Source organism: Homo sapiens, chromosome X (assembly GCF_000001405.40).
Source record: "Homo sapiens chromosome X, GRCh38.p14 Primary Assembly".
NCBI lineage: Eukaryota > Metazoa > Chordata > Mammalia > Primates > Hominidae > Homo > Homo sapiens.
Window position 1 is genome coordinate 116,667,035 of NC_000023.11, and position 13,241 is coordinate 116,680,275.

Genomic DNA, 13,241 nt, shown 5'->3' on the forward strand with positions numbered 1-13,241 from the left:
AATTTAGTTCAGCTATTTACATTTTAATGACACCTGCATTTTACCAATAATCTTCAAGGCTGTTTTTATTTCTCAAGGATTAAAGTTACGTGAAATGAAAGGCACCACAGCTTTTATCTTCCTTTAAAGGAATATTTGATCCAAGTGCTTGTCTTTCTTTAGGCCAAATTAATTAGAGCTCTTTTTACAGACATTACAAACAACACACACACAGACAGGCAGAAGAAAACCCAGTCCCCACAAGATCCTTTTTCACAACCAAAACTTTACAGAGAATATAAACAGTGATAGTTGGGGGTCCTGGCCTAGCAAAATGCCTTCTAAAAAAAAAAATTGGCTTAAAACATAACTGCTGATGGGGTAGATAAGGGGAAGAAAAAAAAGTTTAAAAATGCCTGGGGAAGAACCTCTTACTCTTATGCAACTGGTTCCTCCACCTGGAGAAAAGCTTAATTACTGTCTGATGGAGTTAAACCCCTTAGCTACGGAAGGGGAAGGCGCCTGGCAGGAATGGCAGTGCAGGGCCCTTGGGCCATGTGTCCCAGCTCCGGCAGGGGTGGGGAGTGGCGAGGGGAGAAAGGAGCTGCAGCTCGCTGGTCCATGCAGAAAAAGAAAGGAAAATGCCATGAAGACCGAGGCTGACCTTCCCAAACCCCAGGAGCAATGGGGGTAGGAGCAAGGTCTCCCCTATGCTCAGAACTCCCAGGATGAAAAGGCTTACAAATGACAGTGAGAGGTTTTGAATCCCCATTTCACTCACTGCTTCTTGAGCCCCCATGTTGCATGCCAAAAATGTTGCAAGACTATTTCTTAGATCAGCTAAAGAAGTGGTCCTTGTCACACAGCTGCAAATGGTGCAAACTTCTGTGGCTTCACCCCAGTGTGCACTTTTCCCAGTGCAAAGCCCAGATGGAGTTTTGCCAGGAAGCCCTTCCCACCCGTCTCTCTCAATATGTGCAGGCTTTCTACATCTCGCAAAGCAATCCAGACCTTTGCTGACAGTGTAGGTTTGATACAGGCCTCCTGTTTGCCATCTCAGAGAAGGCTGCAAGGGCAAGCTCAGGGAATTAAAGATATGAGTCTCAGATTCACCCCCAGCAGAGGCACCAGCTCCGTCCAGCCCTGCTCCTCTGAGTCCACCCTGACATCCCTATCCAGCTTCAGCCTCTCACTTGCCCCCTCCAAAAAATCCTCACCCTAATTCAGCCCCAGTCTCAGTCTTGCCCTTGCAACAGATGCCCAGTGAATTTGGACCAAGTAAGGTCCAGGTCGCCTTCTCCCTATAAGACTTAAAGTAAATTAAGGGGGATCTTGGAAAGTTTTCAGATGACCCTGATAGATATATAGTGGCTTTCCAGAATTTCACCCAAATATTTGAACTCTCCTGGAGAGACGTTATGTTACTTTTGAATCAGATCCTGACAGACACTGAGAAGCAGGCCACTCTGAAAGCAGCAGAGGGATTTGGGGATGAGCTTTGTATCATATATAGCATCAGGAAAAGGAGCAGACATTATCCAACTGGAAGAGAGGCAGTACCAGTAAATGACCCTAACTGGAATTCCAGTGATGAGATGGGAGACTAGAAGAGGAGACACTTTTAGGTGTGCATAATGGAAGGTTTATGTCGAACTAGGACCAAGCCTCTCAATTATACTAAGTTGTCCATGATTGACCGAGGATTTGATAAAAATCTCACTGCCTTTCTGGAAACGCTAAGAGATGCCTTGGTAAAGCACACCTCTCTATCTTCTGATTCAGTCAAGGGACAGCTAATCCTAAAGGATAAATTTATTACCCAGGCAGCTCCTGACATCAAGAGGAAGCTACAACCAGGTCCTGGGACCAGATAGTATTTTAGAGAACTTTCTGAAAGTAGCCACCTCAGTGTTTTATAATAGAGATAAGGAGGCCCAGAAGAGAGTGAGGAAATACAGGAAAAAGACAGAGGCCTTAATGGCCACCAGGAAAGCCCACAAAACTTTTCCTTTTCTAGGAAAACCTTTGAAGCATGAAGACAATGAAAACCAAAACAGATCTATGAAGCTTTGACACTGCCCCACCCCACCATCATTATTTCTAGCTCATAATCATTCTCCATCCAGTGTAGTGTTTATTTTGGTGCTCAGCCATCTACTGTCCTAAAATATTATTTGAAGATTTTAAGTCTATATGTTATGTCTCTCAAGTAAAACAACTTTTGCATTACCTCAGCTCCTAAATAGTATTAATTGTTGAATTTATTAACATAAACCATTGCCCCTATTGACACAGGTAAGTTTCTTTGTTTTCAGTTGCCAAATACCTTCCTCATTAAGATATAAAATGTGAATTAAAATATGACTGGTGTTTCTCAGCAGTCAGTATATTTAAACTGAATTCCTTGAAGGCAGGATGTAGGCCTTATGTATCTCTGTGTTTTCTGTGCCTGGCAGAATGGTTAGGAACATTATTGTTGGCTCAAAATATTTTTTAGGGAATAAGAAAATTCATGATTTATTTTCCTTTATTCTACTGATAAATTTTAAATTATTGATAACTTTTAAGTGTATATGAACCTGTTTATTTTCTCAAATGGTAAATGTTTAAACTGATGGTCTCAAAATAATACTGCAAAGGCGTTTTAATTGAAGCAACTTGGAGGCACCAGCTATAAATACTGCAAAACTTGAAAATCATTCACTTATAAAATTAGTTTGCCTTTTGTCTTCAATGTGAATTACTAAGTTTTAGAATGTATATATTATTGATACCAATGTCATGGTATATTATTACTTACAATCAAAAGGATAGGAGTAATGACAAACCAGCCAGCTCTCCACCATAGCCAGAATATCCACCTCTTTGCTCCAATCATCATTTCTATATCCTCAATGAATCTGTTCCCTCCTAAACAAGACAAAGAGTACATTGAATGTTTGCTAGTATTTTCTTCCAATAACCATTGTGGCATCAATGATCTTTCTGTGTCTAAACATTTTTCTGTAGCACAACAATGAAGCATACACCTGTAACTACATTTTCTTCATAATATATTTTGTCCAGTATATTGTACTTTACTATTATAATAGTATAAAAATTAATAGTATAATTAGGTAAACATAATGAAAATGAGTCAAACTAAACTATTTTAATAAAACTTGAAAATAATTTTATAGTTACTATTTACCATAAATCCAGATGATTCCAACTAGCTCCAGCACAGCTGCAATTAAAATGCCCCATCCAGCACAGAAATGGTCAATCAGATGAATCCAGTAAATTCCAGTCTACCAAAAAATATTGATTACTTCTAAGTATATTTTAATCATTTTTATGATTGCTGAGGTATTCAAATTGAATCTATTAACTTAATCTTGACATATGTTCCTTAGTTTCACCTCTGCTAAAATGTGTAAAGGAATGTTTCAGGTGTAAACCCAAATGTGGCTTTAAATATCTCAAAAATCTTTCAATCTATATTGAGTCACTGGAAAAAAAACAAGCACTTAGAATAGTTGATTATCAGAATGGTATGCAATGTCTGTATGTTCTGCAGTGGTTACCAAGAAATGTAGTATCTGTATCTGTAGTGTTTAAAGTCTGTAATCTTATTGTAACTGAAGTAACTGTCCATTATTCGGCCTCCTCATCTGCAAAATAGACTTATGAAAGTAATAATGGAGAAAAATGGGCTAAAACCCAGAAAACCTTGATCCAAGTCAGACCTGGACTTGTCACTAAGCAACCTCTTAAGCCTTCGTTTCTTTCGTTAGGTTATAAAGTATGTTCCAACTAATAATTTGTGTACGAAAAAAATGCTGTAGTATACCTGAGTCACACAGACAAGACCAAGGAGAAACAAAACCAAGCAGCAGCCCAAAGTTATGGAAACCATCATTTTCTTCATCACTTTGGGAAGTAAATCTTGAATCGTTGTTTTGATCACTTCTTCAGAGGGGGAAAAATGACATGTTATATATCAACTTATTTGCCAATACTGTTAATCACAGAATTCCATGTCTGTTTATCAAATTTACAAACATATGTTGAGTAGACACTCTGAGCCCTGCTCCTTGCTTTTAAAAACCCATAGGGTCATTTCTTTTGGCAGTCATTACTTGGTTCTGATGAAAACTGAATGCAGTTCTATTTGTTGTTTTTAGTCTGCTTTATATGATTTTTCATTGATAGCAATCGTAAGGTAACAGTCCTCTGTGAGCTGAATTCGTCTAAAAGGAAGAATTCTAATAGGACTTTTAAATAAGGTAAATATTTGAATCAGTGGTATGGAGACATAAAGGATTCTAGGTTTAGAAATAAATGTGTTCATGAAATAGGGAACTGGCCAAGAGTAGAAAGATGTGTGAATGAAAATATCAGAAAAGATGTTTGAGATTTTCGAGGATTTTAAAAGTCAACAAGAAAACTCTGGATTTTATCCTATAAACAGAGTAAACTATGAAACTGTTTTATATGAGAGAGTGGTAGAATGAAATTTTTTTTTCAGAATTTCCCTCGTCATATAATCTAGGTAAATCCCTATATGTGCATAGAACTATGTGCAAGTATGATCATTGCAGCAGTGTGTGTAATTTTTTTAATTAAATTATTCAAATGCTCATTATTATGGTAAAAAGAGATTGTGATTTAATTAGATCTATATACCTATGTATCAACTTGATTCATAATTAATGCAAAAACAACTTTCAGAGTAATATGTATGCCATGAAACTTCACATTTATGGGAAAATTTAAAAATGTATATGTTATTTTTGAATACATATAAAATGTATATAAACATGGACAGAATAACATACACAATCCATGGTAACAGTTGCCTCTAGAGAAAAATATGAATTGTATCAGGGAGAGAAAGACAGGGGACTTCAAATTCACCTGTAACACTTTATTTTTTTAAATAGCTGAAAGAAGTATGATAAAATATTATTGGGTATTCCTTTTGAGTGTCAAGTATTTTTCTGTATTTAAATTTAAGTTAAAATATCTTTCAGAAAGGTCATTCTGAGATTAACTGCTAGGGGGCAATATGGGTAATAAAAGCATGTCAATTAGAGGAAACACAAATGAAATGTGTTGTGTTAACACTGGAAATATTACTTACCAATGGAAGCAAACTGAGAATCGAGACCCAAATTTAAAAGCTTGAAAAAAATAATATGATCTAAAATGGACCACCTGGTAGTTGCACTAGAGCTTCTGGATAGGCAATGAATGCCAAATCAAAACATACAAAAATGTATGATATTTTAAATTAGTTACCAATATTTAAACATTTAAAAAATAAGATATTAGAAAAATCTCATCTTATTTGGCAACACAATCTATGACATAAATTCTTTACCAACTGTTTCACTTTCCTTTTTAAAAACATTGGATTTGGTTGTTTTGTTCGTTAAAGTTAGGGAGTTCACGAAGTTTTCTTTAAAGCTGGACACTCAAAGTCACTTGACTCTCTTACCTTTATAATATTCATATGTTTTAAATAATCAGTCCCAATACTTTAATTTTACATAAGGAATTTGTATATTGTCTTTCTCTCCCTGATACAATTCACATTTTTCTCTAGAGGCAATTGTTACCATGGATTGTATATGTTATTCTGTCCATGTTTATATACATTTTATATGTATTCATAAATGTATGGGAAGTGCTTAGCATGATGCCTGAACCTTGTAGTTGTACAGTAAGTAGTTCATATTAAGGACTAAACAAAATCTGGGAAAACATTCTATTTTCTTAAGCAATGTTTTCCTAATATACTCCTGTTTACATGGATAATCTAAGAATTATTATATTATTAAGGCAACCAAATTATGTAAGACTGTGATGGGTGATACTGAGTGTCAACTTGACTGGATTGAAGGATGCAAAGGATTGATCCTGGGTGTGTCTGTGAGGGTGTTGACAAAGGAGATTAACATTTGAGTCAGTGGGCTGGGGAAGACAGACCTACCCTTAATCTGGTAGGCACAATCTAAACAGCTGCCAGAGAATGTAAAGCAGACAGAAAAACGTGAAAAGGCGAGACTGGCCTAGCCTCCCAGCCTACCTCTTTCCCCCGTGCTGGATGCTTTCTGCCCTCGAACACTGGACTCCAAGTTTTTCAGTTTTGAGACTCGGACTGGCTCTCCTTGCTCCTCAAGCTTGCAGACAGCTTATTGTGGGACCGTGTGATCATGTAAGATAGTATTTAATAAACTCATGTAAGGTAGTATTTAATAAATATATATATATTTATTAATATATAATACACACACACACACACACACACACACACACACACACACACATCCTATTACTTCTGTCCCTCTAGAGAATCCTAGTACAAAGACAAAATGAGAAAGAAAATGCAATACTCTAAATTATGACTGTTTTAAGTAAATTTCTATAAACTATATTAGAGTTTCATAAGTGAGATACATTGAATTAATCAGAGTTGATAATATATGGTATTATATACCTGATTTTCCAACTTGAGAAAATTCCTTTCCAGATATATGAGCCATTTGGCCCAATATAGAAAAAAATAGCAAATCCAGCAAACACACTAGTGAGACAGTTTGTCAAAAAAACTACAATGGCATCAGAGAAGCAGTTGTTTTTGAACTTATTGTAAGATAATAGAGCAACTAAGCCACCCCAAGCCACTGAAAGGGGGTAAAATATCTGAGTGTCAGCATCTACCCAAACCTATAAGAGAAAATAATTTAATATTTTAAAACATATACTCAATTTTTTATTTGTATAAGTATCTCACATATGCAAATTAATATATTATACGTAACAGTGAAATGAACACCCAAATGCCACTACTCAGCTTAAGAAATAAAATATTACTGTCCCTTCTTGATTACATCACCCTATCACCCTCCAGTGGTAATTGCTATCCTGACTTTTGTGTTCATCATTTCTTTGTTCTTTTTTATACTAGGTTTGAATGTTTTGGAATTTATAGAAAAGTTATTTTAATGCATGTAAACATATACAATGTGCACTTTTCTATTTGGTATTGTGAGATTTATCCATCAGCAAATTGAACTATATAAAGTGTCCACTTTATGATTCTAAAATGAAAGAATATAAGCAAATGTATTTGTTTAAATTAAATATATATAGTTCTTTTAATCATTCTTTATTGCCACAATGCATATGTCACAATTTATCCTTTCTCCTGTTGATGGACATTTAGGTCATTCACTGTGTTGCTCTTATAGAGCTGTAAACATTCTTATATATTCCCCATATGTAGGTGTGGAACTGTGATGTTGAAAAGTATACGCATTCCCCTCTTTTACTAAATCTTGCCAAATTGTTCTTTAAAGTGGTTATACCATTTTGCACTCCCACTAGCTGGGTTTGAGGGTTCCCATTCCACCATATACTTGCCAACACTTCATTTTCCATAGGATTTTTTTTCTGTGAAATTCTTGTTTATGTCTTTTGCCAGTTTTTGGTTTGGCCTGTGTTACTTGGTTTCTAATAATTATTGATGTCTTTTGGATTCTAATTCTTTGTCTATTATATATGTTGATTTTTTGCCTCCCAATTTGTGGCTTATTTTTTTTACCTTTTAACATTGTATCCTTTGATTAACCACAGTTGTTGTGGGTTTACTGAAAATGAAGGTATCCATCTTTGATTATATGTATTGCCCTTGATCTCTGTTACTTTTAAAAACTGCTTAGCCCAAGGTTATAAAGGTACTATTCTATATGTTCTTCTAAAAGAATTCAAGTTTTTGCCTATATTGTCAAATTTTCAATTCACCTAATATTGACATTGTGCATATCAATTTATGTGATATGTGAATGATATGTGAAATTTCCAACTGATGGTGTTTCCTAAATAGGATATCAATTGTTCAAGGATAATTGATATTATCAATTAAATCAATTAGATATCAACTCTATCAATTGGATGATTATCCCTTTCCCTATTGATCTGCATTGCCACCTCTGCCACATGCCAAGTTCCATTTGTTTTTTAATCTATTTCTGAGATTACTATCCTGTTCCATTGGCCTATATACCTATACCTATGCTAACAACTCACTATTTTAATTAGTACAGTATATAAATATTGTTTCCTATCTTTATTTAAATAAAGGACAAGTCCTTTTCACATCAGATACACCTTGGGGTTTTGACCTTTTTCTTTTTCGAACAAAATTTACAATCAGTTTTCAAGTTCCACAGAAAACTGTTTTGGGATAGATTAAGGTTATTTTATTTATATTTAAGAAAATCATATTAGAAATAAAATTCCCTCTTTTTTCTTAGGCTTTTGTCCATATTAAGAGATAAGCAGCATGCTCAGGTTGGTCTCTGACCTTCTTTTACTTGATAGATTATGTGTGCCTGTGTGACAGGGGAGCTGGAAGTGGGTGTGGCAGTTCTGTGCTGTGTAAGAATGCTACTGCATACTATGATGTGTACCTAGGTTGCAAACAAAAGTGAAGATAAATTCCGAACATAGTTTAAATCTCCATATCTATGAATCTCATATCCATATACAATATTATTACATTAGAGATTAGGAAATCCTAATTCAAATTGCATTAATTGGCTGTACACTATTGGCACAATTTGAATCTATCTTGGTTTTAGTTTCATCACTGTAATGAGGTAGTTAGAAAAATAATTTCTGCATTCCTGAAGACCTCTCTATCTATAAATTTGTATGGTTCTCTACTCTCCTGGAGATCTCAATGGAGTTCAGATATTCAAAGAAAAGGAAGGACACCTGATTATAATTCTCTGTTTAGAACATAGATTGTGAGGAATACAATCTGTGCCCAGCTAATTTTTGTATTTTTCTAGAGATGTGGTTTCACCATGTTGGCCAGGCTAGTCTCGAACTCCTGGCCTCAAGTGATCCACCCCAATCAGCCTCCCAAAGTGCTGGAATTACAGGCATGAGCCACCGCAGCTGGCAGACCATGTTGTTTTAGAAAGTCTTGATAGACAACAAGGAAAACTCTTTGTTCATTATTTAATTAAGGATAACCTTAATTAATCAGTTATTAAATTTTTTAATTGACACATAATAATTGTACATATTTGTGGGGTACAGTGTGATGTTTTGATACATGTATGCAATGTATAACAATCAAATTCGGGTAATTATATCCATTACTGAGACATTGTCATTTCTTTGTGGTAAGAACATTCAAAATCCTCTCTTCTAACTATTTTGAAATATGCGATGTATTATTGTTAACTATAGCCACCCTACTGTATAATGGAACACTAGAATGTTAATAAGGAAAGCAAGCTGAAGATTTAGAAAACAAGAGAAATAAATCAATTGAAAGGGAAAAAAAAAAAAGAAAAGAAAAACAATTCTCACTGCCAACAAACCCAAAGAAGGAGTTCGGTTGTGTTGTGTTGGAGAGCAGAGGGTGAGAAGATTAAATTGTATGTTTCACAAGGAGCTTTAGGTTTCACTCTGATTTTTTTAAAGATATTAGAGACACTGAAACACGGGCCAATAAAAAAGAATCATATAAATTTTTCAGAATGGTTTCAAGTAAGTACAAAATCCAGTTATCTTGGGCTTTTAAAATCCACTAAAAGAATATCAAAGGTGCTTTTCAACTATGCTCAAAGTCATGAGTTTTAAAGAAAATGGTGAATCTACTTCCTAGGGAAAATGTTGCAACTATAACAAGATAGTATAATGTAACAGAAATAATTGAAATAATTGTGTGTTACCTCATATTTATTAAAAAGTTTACTATTTCCAAGTGCATTAACATATTTTATCTTGTTCAGTAACCTAACATAGAGAAGGTGATGAATCCCAACTTTCATTTTATTTTTTATTCACCATCCAAAATGGTCTTCAAATGGGGAAGAGATTAACCCACAGGGATAAAAAGAGTAAGGCCCAAGATAAATGAAGAAACAAATTAAGATGGCCTGTGGACACATCAAAGTATATTAAGCTCCAAGACTATAATAATACAATTCCATAGATCTAAAATAACTTGGTTATGTGATTAATCGTTGAGTAGAAATTACTGAGCACAAAAATGTAACCAAAGACCAATGATTGACATTTCAATTTTCAGAAAGGTAATTGTAAATAAATGACAGATTTCCACAACTAAAATCTCATACACTTGGCACTGCTTACCAAAAAACTTACAAAAAATAATTACATATCCTCTTGTAAATATTTAGAAAAGAAAACAGCAATGGCTGGAAATTAGCATGAGTTCCATGAAGAATACTATAGCAAACTAAAACTAATATCCATTTTGAATAGTACCACTAGTATGGCAGATAATATTAACATAGTGTCTCTTGATTTCAACATAAGATTACAGGTTTTTACTTGAACAGAACTTAATGTGTGCTAAGAATGTGATGTGACTAGTAAAAAAGTGAAAGCATTCTAGGCCATACTGATAGAAGCATACTATCTGTAGTACACTTACTGTTAATACTCTCTGCAGTAAAACTGTAAATGATTTTACATACCAGTGATATACTCAGCCATTATCTAAAGGTAAAGTTAAAAGAGTGTTACCTAATTCTTTTTCATGGCATATGTTTAGATTTTTGGTATAAGTAACAATTTTGGTTATGGAATGCTTAATCCATGTCATATTTATGTTTTGACTTCACAATTCACTAGGCAAAACTTGACAATATTTTGGGGATATTAAATTTTGAAGAAAATTAAAATGTATATTAGACCATTAAACTTTCAACAGTAATCTCTAAAGCTACTATGAGTTTATCCAATAAAACACATAGCCCTAGTCATCAACTTGCAGGTATTTATGAATGCAATATTATTTTTCAGATTAATAAGCCCAAAATTTTGTTGGTCAAATAGAATCTGTTTAAATGAATAAAAAATGACTTTTAAAATCCTATTTCTAAAAATTATCTCACCATCAATAAAAGAGCATTAATGGCATATTAAATATTAGCTAAATCAGATATCCTAGTGGATAGAAACTAATAAATCTAGCTGTATATTTTGTTGCGAGCTACTACATTATGATATTCATATGGAACCAAAGATTTTTGGCATTTGCTTTTAAGATTTACCTCCTCAGATAATTCGAAATCCAAAATAAGACTCACCTCAGCTTCCTTAAGTTTTGTAAAATGTGTGCTCCAATATAGTATGAAATGCCTACTGAAGCACTCTCCCAAGTTGCACCTCTTACTAACAAGATGAGTAGGACCACATAGGGGAAAAGAGCTGTAAAATATAACACTTAACAAAAAAATAACCAAAAATTAATGTTATTTTTTAAATCATGATATATATTTACAATCATATATAATTGTACACAAGTAAAATTATTAGCAAGTTGAGATTATTTAAATAAAATACTGGGATTTCATAGGGTCTGATGATATAGCAAAGTTAGCATAATTTCTTATTTGTGTTCTCACAACTCTCAAATGATCCATTTAAAAAATACTTTGATGTATTAATCAGCATTTCCCAGGTTTAGGTTGTATCCTTCTTCTCTCAGTAAATTACTGCATTGAGATGAGGCAGGAAATGATTTTAAACCCTGCAGTGGTTAGTATATATTCAGCCTTCAAGACGAAGGAAAATATTTTCTAGTAGATATCCAAATCCCAGAAAAGCATACTGAAGTGAATACTGGACACTTGTTACTGTTATCCTTACAGCTACCATTAAGAGAGTTTGATAGCATACATACAAGTGCACTGCTTCTGTACCAGATTACACATGGTTCCAGATGAGCAGATTGCCTTTGAGACCAGCTTTGCCTGAATATGGATGTTTTCTTTGATCCATAGATGTCCTATGTTTTATAATACATCCAAGGAGATGATTTAAACAAGTCATTCAGAGACCAATAAAAATTAATCGCCTGGGTAAATGGCCTTTAATGGACTCTTTCAATATTAACATCAAAAGGAAACCAAGGGTTTAAAAAATGTGGAACTAAAACATTTTAGGAAGTTTTCCCTGGATTTGTGATATTCACAGTATTTTTGTGATGTAACAGCATGTCTCATTACAACTTAACATTAACTGAATGTGCTGGATATTGTACTGAGAATACAAAGATAAGATCCCCAGTTATTCCTGTCCTCCACCTTACAGAAATTTCCATTGACTAGTTAAAAACTCATAGACATTTTTTCTGGGTATTGTGCAACTATTCACGGAGAAAATTTCATGTTGTTTTCTTAAATTATCATGATTTTCCCTGAAAGTTTATAAAAGTAAAAAATTAAGCAGGAAAATATAACAGAATGTTTTTCAAAAGAGGCCATTTCCCTGAGAGAAAAAGTTCTGTGTATATTTTGGCAATATTTAAGAGAATAAATACAGTGTGTGTACACACACACACACACACACACACACACACACACACACACACACACACATATACACATTTCTCTCTCTTTCTCTCTCTCCAACTAGGGGATTCCTGATACTATTATTCTATAGAACAAGGATCTAGATTTTCCAAACCAAACATTGCAATATACGATTCCATTCAAAATGCTTCCTTATATGGTAGGATAGAAAATTTTATAATATACTCTCAAGCCTCAGAATGCTGTATCAGCTAAAAGGGTCCAATTTTTGAGTAATTGTGCAACTCTAGTAGTAGTTACTATTTTGTTTGTTTGTTTTGTATTTAGCAAGACAGAGATCCGGGCTGGGCACGGTGGCTCCTGCCTGTAATCCCAGCACTTCGGGAGGCCAAGGCAGGCGGATCACCTGAGGTCCAGAGTTTGAGATCAGCGTGACCAACATGGAGAAACCCTGTCTCTACTAAAAATACAAAATTAGCCTGGCATAGTGGCACATGCCTGTAATCCCAGCAACTCGGGAGGCTGAGGCAGGAGAATTGCTTGAACCTGAGAGGCAGATGCTGCAGTGAGCCGAGATCATGCCACTGCACTCCAGCCTGGGCAACAAGAGCGAAACTCCGTCTAAAAAAAAAAAACACCAGAGATCCTATATATTTACTTATAGCTTAAGATGACTACTTAGAAAGCTTTTCATACATTTGAATCCTTCCATTATAGAAAGAAAAATGCTTTTGATAATGCTTGACAATGAACTACAATGAAATTAGAAAGCTGCCATATCACTATCTAATGTATTTTTCAAATTACCTTGGCAGGGGACTTGATTCCTTTAAATAGTGCTGCCCCAAGTATGAGCCGAGCCAGAAGACAACAAAATGCTAAATACCACACAATTACTGCAGTCTCATCCAT

At 34.5% G+C, this 13,241-nt stretch overlaps 1 pseudogene; it reads right to left on the reverse strand.

Moving 5' to 3' along the window:
• On the reverse strand, positions 2,776–11,239 carry SLC6A14P1 (SLC6A14 pseudogene 1; annotated as a pseudogene).